The sequence below is a fragment of the Homo sapiens genome, chromosome 18 (assembly GCF_000001405.40).
Source record: "Homo sapiens chromosome 18, GRCh38.p14 Primary Assembly".
Taxonomy (NCBI): Eukaryota; Metazoa; Chordata; class Mammalia; order Primates; family Hominidae; genus Homo; species Homo sapiens.
Window position 1 is genome coordinate 70,132,459 of NC_000018.10, and position 14,505 is coordinate 70,146,963.

Sequence of the window (14,505 nt, forward strand, 5' to 3'; positions counted from 1 at the left end):
TCAATATTTAGCTAAATATTAATAATAAAATAACTAGAAAACCTAATAAACTAAATCTTCACTAGTTACCCCCAATAACTCTAAACAACCCTTGCATCAATAAAAAAAAATCACAAAACACTTAGAAAATATTTTGAACTAAATAATAAAATATGGCATATCAAATTCGTGGAATATACCAAAAGCCATACTTAGAAACATTGATAGCTTTAAATGAAAGGGCGGCTAATAATCAATGGCCAATCCTCCAGTAAGTTAGAAAATGAACAGAAAATTAAGTTTGAAAAACACAGAAGGAAGAAAATAATAAAAAGCAAAGAGTAATACATCAGGACCACTTTGAGATACACTATACATCCATCAGATGGGCAACAATTTTTTAAATGCCAACATTACTGTGAGTAAAAGAGTAATAAAACCCTTTCTCCTCTTTACGGACAAACATGATATTGAGGTAACTCTCTGTCCCTTTACCCAGTAAAATCAGATAGATATGGAATGTCAAGAATTTACTAAGCTGCTTTGCTTATGATGAAAATGACTCCCCACATCTGGACTGAGACATCTAGGAATAAACTATAAATGCATGATGGGATGTCACAGCTCTGAGCAATCTTGAGTGCTGTGGCTCTTATAAGCAACCTGGAAACTATGCCTACAGCACACTTACTAGAGAACATATTTTCTATTTGGGACATGAGGCTTCCAAGCCAAGACAGCTCCCAGCACCCACAAATGTGATCTCATTCTAAGCATGACTACTGCAGTCGTGTGAGTTTCATTATTTAGCCAAACTAAACACCATTAAGACTGGTAATGCAAATACCAAAGGCTAGTGAGGATGTGGGGCAGCTAGTACTTTTCCACTGATGGTAGGAATGTAAATCAGCACAACAACTTCGTAATACTGTCTGGTAACATCTACTAAAGCTAAACATAAATATCCTATATTCCAACAATGACACGTGTTCAAGAATGTTCTTAGCAGTCATTTCTTCATAATAGCCCAAAACAGAAAACAAATTAAACATCCACAAATAGAATGGTAAATAAAAGTGTTGTATATTCTTAGACAGAATACTACATAGAATAAAAATGAACCAACTATTGATTGCTTCATGCAGCAACATGGACAAATCTCTCCAAGTTGAGCAAAAAGCAATATAATAATGCACTCTATTTATAAAGTTCAAAAACTAGCAAAAATAATGTACAGCAATAGAAATTAAAATAGGATTACATTTTGGGGTGGTAGAAGGTAATGAGAAAGCACAAAAAGGGTTTCCGGTCTGTCAGTAATATTCTATGTCAATCTGTGTGAGATAAATAAGTACGTTTACTCAGAAAAATTCAAGGGCTGTACCCTTATGACTTGTATGCTTTATGTACGATATATGTCAATAAAAACAATTTACTTTTTACAAAAGTCTAAAGAGACATGAAAACCAAATACAATGCAGAACCTTAACTGGTTATTGCATTCTGAAAAAATATACACAAAAGATACTTGGAGATAACTGGAGAAACCACACCATGTTATAGAATTATTTTTAATCTTGTTAGATGGGATCATATTGTAGCAGTTATGTAGAATAATGTCCTTAACTTAAGGATGTGCATGCTGGAATATATAGGAAAGGAGTGAATTTATGTCTGAAACTTATTTCCAATTGGTGGGTGAGGGAGAATTAAATATAAATAAAAATATATATTAGGAGAGAGAAAGCAAAGAGACTCATATGTAAATAATTGATGACTCTAGGCTGAACGACATACAAGTATGCACCGTATAGCTTTCAACTTTCCTGTAAATTTGAACGGTATCAAAATAAAAAATTGGTGGTGGGGAGATATACTTACTGAAATCTTCAAAGCACCATTGTGAAGGAACCATGAAAGCCCAAGTTATGGGATTTAAATGCTAAATGAAAATTGTGACAAATTATAGATTTTGATTTCCCTTTCTGTAACAACATTTCGTCCTTCAAGAAAATCAGAGAAATAAATCCTTTACCTTCTAAAAACGGAAACAGGCAAACTGAAGACCGATGGCAAAGAAGGTTTATTGGAAGGATTAACAGACCTATTTCATAAAAGAAAAACAAAAACAAAGAAACAACTGAGTAGACCAAGTTTTGTCTAACAAATACAACTTACCTCACTTCGTTGACTGCAAATGAAATCAAGCAGTGCAACTGAGTCTATCATTTAGTATAGAAACAACATGTTTGCTACTTCCTAGATTTGCTTATGAAGAGTAAATTATGTTTTAAAAAAAAATTCCACATAACAAATGATTCATACAATGCAGTGGTGGGACTAGCAGGTGGACTTTGTGCGTCTCCTCCCACGGATCCTGCTCAAGATCAGCGCTAATCATATACTATCGTCCTAAATATCTTCCGAGGTTTTTTAAAAATCATGAAATATTAAGAAAAAAACACATAGTTGAAGGTATGTACTAAAAATGTATTAAAGACAAAAATTACTGCAGTAATTTTAAAGTTTATATTTAGTAATGTTTAAAAATAAAATTTGAGATAGACTTTCTGAGCTAATAGGCTTTTGAATACTGTTTATTCAAATCAAAATTCATACCACATATGTGTAGCATGGACAGCATAAGCTTCGTAAATCAGAAATTTCCATGCCTTGCTATAAGATTACATCAGATACCTGAGATAAATAGTTAAGAGTAAAAAACTTATAAATTCTTATATCTCACCACATATCCATTCTCGATACTTCATCAAATAATAGAAGACAAAATAGTGCTCCAACTTCAGTCACGACACTACAATCTTCATGAAATATTAAGGAAACTGAATAAAAAGAAGCACAACTTTATGAAATATTTGTACGTCTAGAAAGAATGAACTTCAAATTTAAAATATCTTGATTTGAAGAGAAAAGAAATGCAACATAAACCCAGATAAGGTGACACTAAAACACAGGCTTTCATCTCAAACTTGTGGATGTACAAGAATCACCTGGAAGGCTGGTTAAAACAGTTTCTGATTGGATAGGTTTAGGGTGGAGCCTGTGAATGTGAATTTCTAATAAGTTCTCAGAGGATGCAGATGCTGCCAGTCCAGGAGCCACACTTGTAGATACACTCACTAGACACTGTCTAGTCTTAGGTAATTAGAGAAACAAACTGATACAGCCTCTAAGAAGGTTATGCCGAGTCAGATAATTCTAGCTAAAGTTTCCTCACCAAGAGATCTTATTTTATAACTTTTGCCCTTTACTACAAACATGTGATCACAGAACTTGGATTTGACTTTAAAATGTTATCCTTGGGCTGTGTCATTGTTTTGGTTCCTTTTAATTATGACAAGATGATGGAAAAGGGAAGTGCTCTGAATGGACAGACTTAACACTAGCTCTACCACTTACTACTTAGCTAAATGCCCTGGTGAGATTCTTTAACATTAAGTCTCAGTTCCCACTTCTGTAATGATCCCAATGCTACAATCTCCTTGAAACCTATGAAATTCTAAACAAAGAAGTACGATGTTATCTCACAGGAATAACAACATAATACACAGTTAGCAAATTCAGGGAAGCAGCAATAAGAAGTTTTGAGAGAAGAGATTTTTCCTAACTGCAGGAAAAGAAAATCATCCTTATGTAATTGGCATGATTAAAAATAGCCATAAACCAAAAAGTAAAGAAACAGAGAACATGTAAAAATTAACTTATAATAAAAGACATTTCACATCAGTGATGAATAGAATGAACCATAATATTTCCAAATAAATAAGAATTACAGCAATGCCTTTGCCTGATTTCAAATTTAATTTTTTTAAACAACACTTGAAACACAGGAAAAGTGTTTTCAATCTGGAACTAGAGAAAGTCCTACTTGAAGAGCATGATAAAAAATTGCCCAACTGCCATAACAGAAAAGTTCTATATGTTTCCATAAAATATTTAAGTTTAAGGTTAAAAATATAATAATAAATAAATTTAAAGGATAGAAAAGTTGAGAGAAAATATTAATCACATAAAATCAAGCATAAGGATTGTGCCTATCTTATAATAAAAAACCCTACAAGTCACTAAAAAGAAAGTAAATACAACAGGAAAATAAGTAATCCATAGATGAAGAAATTTGAATATATATGAAAAGATAACTTCACTAAAACTAAAATAAGAAAATAAAACAATTATATATTTTTACCTATAAGATTAAAAAAAATTAATGAGACATATTCAGTGTTGGCAAAGTTGTAATGAAAATAAGCATTTTTAAACACCTTTGGTGAGAGTGATTTGGAAAGGAACTTAACCATTATCTTATAAAATCTCTTTGACCTAGGAATTCCAACACTGAATGCACAAAGATGATCACACAACATGATTACTGTCATGGTGAAAAATCTAAAACAAATACCCAGTAACATAGCAAACTGAAATTCTGCAACACCAGTGCAGTAGTTTTTAGGGTTTTTTAAAGAATGTATACTCACATGAAATAATATAGAAAGATATTCAAGTTACATTTCCAGTTGAAAAAAGGAAGCAACACAATACTGTAATATACAGAATGAAAACTACATGTGTATGTAGAAAAAATCATTCGGAAAAATATATTCCTAATGATAACCAGAACAGTCTTCTTTGGGGAAATTGAGAACGAGAAGAAAATGAAAACTTTTAGAATTTGTATAGTTCTATATTGCCTGAATTTTTACAATGGGGATGTATAGGTCTGTGATTATTTAAAACAGAAACAAACAAAGGTAAGGAAGTTTCGATTCTCTCTCAGTAGCAAAGTAAATAACCCAATAACCATTTTTTGGTTATAGCCTTGGCCAAGTTGCTAAATCTCTCTAGACCTCACACAGATGGTATAGTAAATGATTTCTAAGTTAATTTCTAACCCTGAAATACACTATAGAATTCTGTCATAACATAAAGTTTATAATTCAAAGCAGTGTTATCTGAGAAGTTATTTATTGTACTCATTTGATCCACTATCCATGCTACAGAAATAATCTTCCTAAAACACATACTCCCCTGTTTAACAACCTTAAACAGCTCTTCACTGCTGTTTAATAAAATCTCCCAGGCCCTGCACGAACTGCCCTCCCTGCCTCATCCCATCATTTCCCCTTCACTCCACACTCCCCAAATCCAGCCAGCTCCATCTCAAACACATCAATTTCTCATACACACAACCACGGCTCCATCTAGAAGTCAATCTTGCCTATTTGAACTCCTACTCATTTCTGAAATTCCATCTTAGATGCCACATTCCCTAGAAACAATCTCTGATACTTTTCACCAACCAATCTGACCAGCATGTCCTCTGGCACCAGGAATCCCCAATTACAAGTATTACTGTGGTGTACTGTATATTTACTTGTCAATGTCTCCAACTCTACTGTAAGCTCCATGAGGGTCATTTACCATGCTCACCAATATAACCCAAGGGCCTAGCATTGCACCTAGCACAAAGCATGTGCTTAATAAACGTTTGCTGAGAAATGGGTTTTCTTGGTTAAGCAGCTGGTTAAAAATTAATTTTTCGGCCAGGCACAGTGGCTCACGACTGTAATCCCAGCACTTTGGGAGGCCAAGGCAGGTGGATCACATGAGGTCAGGAGTTCGAGACCAGCCTGGCCAACATGGAGAAACCTAGCCTCTACTAAAAATACAAAAATTACCCAGGCATGGTGGCAGGCACCTGTAATCCCAGCTACTCAGGAGGCTGAGGCAGGAGAAATGCTTGAACCCAGGAGGCAGAGGTTGCACTGAGCCGAGATTGTGCCACTGCACTCCAGCCTGGGTGATAAGAGTGAAATTCTTTCTCAATAAATAAATAAGTAAGTAAGTAAAATTTTTCCTGAAACTAAATCCATTAATGGAGGATACTATATTCATTCTCAAACTCATTGAAAGTAATTTCCACAAACAGCAATGAAATAGAAAAACTGAAATACTGAAAAGGGTATAGATTATATTGCCTTGAAATGTGCTTTTGAATCCAGTAGGTGTTCATAATAAGTTCCATGCTTGAATAATTTAAATGAAAATTATAAATGAAAAGGTAAACCAGGAACTAAATTCAAGTGAATGAGGTTAATAAGAAGACAATTATTAACAGGATTAAAGAAAACTAAAAATCCGTAACTGCTGCTCTTTCAGATGATCAGTCTATACAATCTTATAAAAACGTTATAGTCCACTCAAAATGTTATGAGCCTAAACACACTGAATCTGTTTAGAGCTTTACCTGGTTTTAGGGCTGCTACTTAAATAAACTGCATCTTACTCACTTGGCAAGCAGAAGCCAACAGGAGGAAAAGATGCTAAAATAAAATGACTACATTATAATAACATATTTTGAACATAAATCTCACTTATCTCCTATATGCCTGATAATAGACAAGATGAAGCACATTCAGATGCTTGTACGTGACTCTTCAGCACATTCAGATGATTCTACATGACTCTTGCAAAATATCAAAAAGCAGTGGCCTAAGTCTCTAAGAAAAAAAATAGTACAAAATGTTACCAAGCTCTCCATTGAGAAAAAAAAAAAAACAGAGAAGACAGGAAGGACAAAACTACATGAAACGTGTTCATCTAACACCTTACTAAATTAGAATCAAATTAAAATGGGTTTTTAAAAACCACATTTTATAGAATGTAATAAATTTAGGCTCAGAGTCATTTAGGATGGTCTAGTTTCTACTCACACAGGTTGAGCCTATACTCTTAACACCTGTCAAATGAAATAATCAGACAAAATGTACCAAGATCCAAAGGTATAAGCAAAACAAGAAAGACGAAAGAGATATTGGAAAGAAGATAGTAATAACAGCAGCTGCAACTTTCTCTCTTTATAGATAATAGTTTACTGTCTGAGCACCAGATGACATCTACATCAAGGCACAAAGAACAATCAGAGGTTTCAGCTTTTCTCAGCTCTAGCCTCCACTCAGCAACAGGATTAGAAAGCAATTTCCACAAAAATATTAAACATTTTCCATTTACATTAGTAGTGTATTCACTAATAAATGCTGTTGTTCTAATAGTAAAATAAAAAGTAAATGTGACTTACAATTAAAGAAGAAACACTTAAAATTTAAGAACAATCTAATTATTAGCAGATTTTCTTTTATTTACCTCTGAATAACACGGTCAAAAGAGAAGACTGTTGCGAGAGCGAAACACGCATGACTGGATCACCACATAAAACCTTCCTCAAGAGTGTGAGGCATGGTTGTACCAAACATTCTACAACCTGGGCCAGGAGGAAAAACACAGCTTTTCATTTTCACCAATTATCAGGTGAGATCAAACAGACCATAATATTATCTTACTCTAAATTTTATGCGTTTTCATCAAAATTATCTGAAACTAAAATGTAAATAAATACTAGGAATTACTTTCCACTGAAAGTAAGTTTCGTATATACTTCTATCACCTATCTTATGGAAATTTTAGGATTAGTTTTCCTTTATAGAGACTCCACTTTTCGAATTTAAAAAAAAAAAATGAATGAGATAGGAGGTGTTACTTAGAATTTAAAATCCAAGTACTCATCCAAATTCTGCTCAGTTCAATTTCAGATCTGATTAATCAAAACAGCCTGTAAAACAATGTCTAGATGCACATTAGCCTTACCTTGCCATCTTGACTCACACATTCATTTAAATACTCAATTATTTTGTCAATTAAGCATAACTTTTTCACCACAGCATGCATTTTAATATCTGTAGATAAAAAAAGTTACTAAAAGTTAAAGCACATTTTTTGTAGTTTAAAACACGTATTTTGAAATACTCAGAACTGATATCCACACAACCTTCAAACTATTAAAAATACTTAGACCTGGGGTTGACATAAGAGTATGAAACTTTTAACTTTTTACTTTACGTACACCTGTCCAATTTGAAAATGTTTAAGTAAAAAGCATATCTTACTTCTGTCACATAAAATACAAAACTATAAAAAAAGAATTATGGAACTAGTTCAGACTCTGAAAACTACGAGAATTTAAGTGTACAAATGAATGCTTATATTTATACATGCAAATTATCTTCTTTATATTATTTCATTGACTCTTCCAAATTTATCACCTTCAAATGTTTATAATTCTCCACAAGCTCATGTGTAAAATATGACTTACAACATGAACATTTTTCTATCTATAAAAAAATCTCTAACCTCAAACTATTAATAGCAAATATAAAAGGAACAAGATTATAATACACTATATATTTCTGGAGAACTTGAGCTTCTTTTTAATAAGCATATATTCACATATTATGTTTGTAATAAAGAAGTTTTTGTATATACATAAAAAAATCTTATATGTATAGACATGTGCACACGCACACACAAATGTTACCGGAACCCAAAACTGTAATTGATTATATATTCGTTACAAGTATTTAACAACTTGCAGACAAATTTTCTCCTATATTCTCATTAGGAAAAACACATACACTCACATACTGATATTGAAGTGGAAGCTATCATTGTAACAATCTTTAGCTGCTACTTAAAAAAAAAAATTTCCATTGCCCCCCAATATAGTGCATACCAAAATTATAAGGCATACTTTTGAAATGTTAACAATATTGAAGGAATACTCTTTAACGAGTTTTTCTTGATCTTTTTTTTAACCAGGGCTTTCCACATTTTCTAGTCTTCTTTTCTGTAGTCTGTGTGATTGTTGTTAAAACTAAAAATATGTGGAATATGTTTTTTCAAATAACTCTCTCATTCCAGTTTCCACTAATGTCAAGACAAGAAGTGCTAACCATAAAAATCTTTTTACATAAACTCAAAGTTATCATTTCTCATAAATATTAAAGTACATACATCACGTATGGGGAAAAATTCAAAACTAACCCAAAGAACAAAAGCCTATGGAATAACAACACTACAAACAAAGCTAACAGTGTATTACACTAGTTGTTTTTAAAAATAAACATTTATACACCATGGAATACTATGCAGCCATAAAAAAGGATGAGTTCACATCCTTTGCAGGGACATGGATGAAGCTGGAAACCATCATTCTCAGCAAACTATCACAAAGACAGAAAACCAAACACCGCATGTTCTCACTCACAGGTGGGAACTGAACAATGAGATCACTTGGACACAGGGCGGGGAACATCACACTCCCGGGCCTGTCACAGAGTTGGGGGTTGGGGGAGGGATAGCATTAGGAGAAATACCTAATATAAATGAGTTGATGGGTGCAGCAAACCAACATGGCACATGTATACCTATGTATCAAACCTGCACATTGTGCACATGTACCCTAGAACTTAAAGTATAATTTAAAAAAATAAAAATAAACGTTTAAAGAAAAGGCATAGCTACAGTGTACTATTTTTCTTTTACCTACCACAAAAGTATTATTTGATTAATTTCCCTAAGCAAGATGGTACAGATTGAAAATATGATGCATGCACTCAGTAAACAGAGGAAGGAACATGCACTTCACTATTGGAAGTACACTAATATTTTAGAAAGAAGATAATTCTATCAAATGGCATTTTACAGGTCAAATAATAATAAGGCATTAGCAAACTTCTTCTGTAAAGAACCAGGTTAGTAAGCATGTTGTTAGGCTTTGCTAGACACACACATATGGTCTCTCGCATATTCTTTGGTTTTGGTTGGATTTTGTTAACAACTCTAAAGATGCAAAAACCATTCTTGAGGGCTGTCAAAAAAAAGGCCACAGGCTGGATCTGGCGCATAAACCATAGTTGCCAACTCCTGCCAGTACCATATGGCAATCTAAAATTCTATTATCAGCAGTACAGCAATCATTTCCCTTAAAAGACATTACCTTGCATAATCACAGCTAACTGTTCAGCAGCTGACTTTCTCAAAACGAGATCAACATCATCTGAGGTGAAGATTTCATATACCTTTTCAACAGTCTCCAACTACAAACCAAAAAAAAAAAAAAACCAAAATTACATTTATCTGCTTCCAATTCTCCAATAAGATTTTATAGTTTGTGCCCTATGAACAAAAGCTCAAAAAGTCAACTTATTTAAATAACCAACATAATTACAGGTAAATTCACACAATGCTGGGTTAAGTAGCAGTTCTGTATTTAGGTCTTCAAGGAATTGCCACACTGCTTTTCACAATGGTTGAACTAATTTACACAGTCATCAACAGTGTGTAAGTATTCCCTTTTCTCCACAACCTCACCAGTATCTGCTATTTTTTGACTTTTAATAATAGCCATTCTGGCCGGGTGCGATGGCTCACGCCTATAATCCCAGCACTCTGGGAAGCTGAGGTGGGCAGATCATCTGAGGTCAGGAGTTCAAGACAAGCCTGGCCAACATGGTGAAACCCCATCTCTACTAGAAACACAAAAGGCCAACATTGTGAAACTCCATCTCTACTAAAAATACAAAAATTAGCTGGGTGTGGTAGTACACACCTGTAATCCCAGCTACTCGGGAGGCTGAGACAGGAGAATCGCTTGAACCCAGGAGGCGGAGGCGGCAGTGATCCAAGATCGCACCACTGCACTCCAACCTGGGCAACAAGAGTGAAACTCTGTCTCACAAAAAAAATAAATAAATAGCCATTCTGACTGGTGTGAGATGGTCCCTCGTAGCAGTTTTGATTTGCATTTCTCCAATGATCAGTGATATTGAGCTCTTTTCCATATGCCTTTTGGCCACATGTATGTCTTCTTTTGAAAAATGTCTGTTCTGTCCTTTGTCCACTTTTTAATGGAGCTGTTTGGTTTTTTTTTGTAAATCTGTTTAAGTTCCTTATAGATGTTGGATACTCAAATACAAATCATTCTACCATAAAGACACATGCATGTGTATGTTCACTGCAGCACTATTCACAACAGCAAACACATGGAATCAACCTACATGCCTATCAATGGCAGATTGGATAAAGAAAATGTGGTACATATACACCATAGAGTACCATGCAGCCCTAAAAAAGGACGAGATCATGTCTTTTGAGGGAACATGGATGAAGCCGGAGGCCATTATCCTTAGCAAAATAACACAGGAACAGAAAACCAAATACTGCATGTTCTCACTTATAAGCAGGAGCTAAATGATGAAAACACAAGGACACAAAGAGGGGAACAACGGACACTGGGGCCTGCCTGAGGGTGGGGGGTAGGAGGCGGGAGAGGATCTGAAAAATAACTATCGGGTACTAGGCTTAGTACCAGGGTGACGAAATAATCTGTACAACAAACCCCCATGACACGAGTTTACCTATATAACAAACCCGCACAGGTACCCCTGAAACTGAAATAAAAGTTTAAAATAAATACATAAATAAATAAAATTTGCAACAATGATGCAGTAGGTCAGGAAGGAACTTAAGATCTAAAATAAAGAGTCATCATGTCAAATAAGTTTTCCTTTTTTTTTTTTGTTTTTTGAGACAGGGTCTCACTCTGGTCACCCAGGCTGGAGTAAAGTGGTGCAATCTCAGCTCACTGCAGACTCGACTTCCTGGGCTCAGGTGATTCTCCTACCTCAGCCTCCCAAGTTGCTGGGACTACAGGCATGCACCACCAACCCCAGCTAATTTTTTGTATTTTTAGTAGAGACAGGGTTTCACCATATTGCCTAGGCTGGGCTCAAGTGGTCCACCCATCTCAGCCTCCCATAGTGCTGGGATTACAGGCAAGAGCCACTGTGCCCGGCCCCTCTCTTCTTAATATACATTTTTGCTAGGAAGTTATTCATAACCCATTAATCCATTAGCAACCTTACAAAGGTAACAGAAAACAACCATGTTCCCTAACATCTTTACAGGTAGTACCAGGCTAACCTGAGAAAAGCGACCCAGACCTATGACTCAAGATTTCCCTGTTGCTCCCAGAAGCCACCAGCTGGTATTCCCGTGGGCCTCTCCATTCTTTCTTTTAGAAGACCCCAGAGCAAACAGCACTCTGGGACTTGCTGTCCAGCACCCCTTCAAAGCTACCCCCCAGACAAGTCCCTTACTGTCACTTCATGCTAGAACAGAATCTGAGGTGGCAAAACCAGCATCAGGAAAAAGGGACAAGAAAATAACAAAGATGAAGCTCCTTTCTCCCACTCACTGCTATCTTCCAGTCCTAACATGGACTCACAGAAGACGTATTAGAATGCCCTCTCCCCGCCTTCCTCCATACATCAGGGCACAGGAGTGACTACCAATGGCTTAGTACTCAGGGAAGTCCCAACCAGACCTGGTATGTGGCCAGTGAAGACTCTCCAATCCCCCTGCCAGCACTGTCATAAAGCCCTGAACATTCAGTTTAGAAGAACATAATGTGTTTCCCCATTAAAAAGCAAACAAACAAACAAAAAAACCGACTGTATTACATGTGGCTCTACCATACTACTACAGGCCTTGGCAAGTTAGTCTAAAATAAAACAGACAGATTGCAAACTTGAGTGAAATGAGAAAGTACAAAACACAGGAATGAATCCATGAAAACAGTGGACTAGTGGACAGCTTTCTTTATAGAATTCTCCATCAGTCCAGTATGCTATAGGTACAGTCCTAGCTAAAGACAGGAAAATGTATTTACAGCCGCTGCCCATTGCTGCCATTACCATCTGAGCTCCACCTCCTGTCAGATCAGTGGCGGCATTCAGTTCTCATAGGAGTGCAAACCGTATTGTGAGCTAGGTGTGTGAGGGATCTTGGCTGGCTGCTCCTTAAGAGAATTTAACTAATGTCTGATGATCTGTCACTGTCTCCCATTACCCCCACATGGGACTGTCTAGTTGCAGAAAAACAAGTTCAGAGCTCCCACTGATTCTACATTATGGTGAGTTGTACAATTATTTCATTATATATTACAATGTAATAACAATAGAAATAAAGTATACAATAAATATAATGCACTTGAATCATCCCAAAACAATACTCCTGCCCTGATCCATGGAAAAATTGTCCTGTGAAACTGGTCCCTAGTGCCAAAAAGGTTGGGACCACTGCAATAAATCAACGTATCTAGAAGCCAGATAAAGCCAGAACACAATTTCAAACCAGCCCTGAATCCCCATACTTCTCTCCCTCCCCAGGACATACACAAACTGAAGAATGTCACATAAAATACATGATATAAAAATGTATCAAATTACCACACAGTAATAAACTCAAAATTTATAGTCACCTTAATAACCAGCTCTCTTCTGTCATCCAGTCTGAGTTCAATAGGTTTCTTCCCAATGAATAAATCAGTAACTCTGGAGAGAACTCTGGCGTCTATTAGAGGACGCTTTGTATCAGCCCCTTCTTCACTGGTAAGATGGAATGCTAAAAGCTTTAATGCTAGCGAACGGACCCTGAGAACACAAAGTACTTAAGTCGAACTTTCGTGATATGCAAATGTCTATTTTAAAAGGGCTTGTAATTACAAGTAATTATATATCAACAAAGTACAATAAGTAGTCACAATTATACTGCCATTACTAGTAATAATTTACTTTTTCTACTAAAAATTCTTCGATATATAATTATAATGATTTATTCAATGTAATAGTTATAAAATAAACATCAGAAACAAAAAATAATAACTACAAATGAGACAGACTCACTGAGATTAAATATCAGTAAACTTCAATAAGTACATCTGCGAATTAAATCAATAACTCCTGTCTTCAAATCTAGTGAACTATTCTCCACCATAAAAAGTATCACAGACCGCTGACCACAGTCCAAATGTTAAGTTGAACCCACAGGAGAGTAATGACGCTCATAATGGAAGTGTGATAACACTACAATGTATCAAAATCTTCTCATATTAGGGGCCAAACAGATTCCTGTCAAATATGAAAATACAAATACTTTTTCCTTATCTGGAAGGGATTAGGAATAAGGTCAGCTGAGTGGGGAGGTGGGAGACCTTTCAAGAAAAGAGTAAATACTGTATGCCACTAAACAATGAAATAGAGAAACAGAAAAACCACTGAGTGGACAAAGGTCACTGAGGCGGCAGATATTGAGACAACCATGTATCTGTCACTCCTCTGATAGGTTCTTGAACTACCTGGAAACTGGACAAATTTTAAGCAATAATACAAGTTGCCAGGTTTTAAGAACTACCTATAAGACAACAATTAAAACATGCATCATTAGGGTGGCCCTCCTACTACAGACTAGAGCAGGTTGCCTTCTGTATGCAGGCCTGCCACCTTGAGCCCCTGTATCATAACTTTTATCTCACTTTATGACAATTAATAATAAAGAATAATTGATAATAAGAGCTATATTCCCGGTTACACACTAAATGCTGAAAGGGCAGGGCCCATGTCTGTGTTGTGTGCTGCTACGTTCCCACAGCTCATAGATACATAGTAAGACACCCAATAAATACTTCCTGAATCAAACACAAAGTAGATATTTACTGCAATATTGTTAACTGATATCATCTCCAGAGGACTAATAAGTCAGGCAAACTTTCTCCCTCTCCATTTCCTGAGTTACCTCAAGAGAGCTTAGAAAGGCTAAACACCTACCTAATAG

The 14,505-nt window shown here is 35.6% G+C and overlaps 1 protein-coding gene across 18 annotated transcripts in view; it reads right to left on the minus strand.

Moving 5' to 3' along the window:
- Positions 1-14,505, minus strand: part of RTTN (rotatin) — a 202,657-nt gene that overhangs the window by 129,428 nt on the left and 58,724 nt on the right. For 17 of the 18 annotated variants that reach the window (XR_430072.4, XR_007066140.1, XM_047437468.1 and 14 more), the window contains 6 exons: positions 13,154-13,325; positions 9,830-9,929; positions 7,642-7,730; positions 7,141-7,258; positions 2,726-2,822; positions 2,015-2,083 (listed from right to left, as the gene is read on the minus strand). Coding sequence is in view for 16 of the 18 variants with exons in the window: in XM_047437468.1 (XP_047293424.1) it covers positions 2,015-2,083; positions 2,726-2,822; positions 7,141-7,258; positions 7,642-7,730; positions 9,830-9,929; positions 13,154-13,325 (645 nt within the window). In the remaining 2 variants the exon portion in view is untranslated. The remainder of the gene's footprint in view (positions 1-2,014; positions 2,084-2,725; positions 2,823-7,140; positions 7,259-7,641; positions 7,731-9,829; positions 9,930-13,153; positions 13,326-14,505) is intronic. The other variant, NM_001318520.2, reaches the window with a different exon arrangement.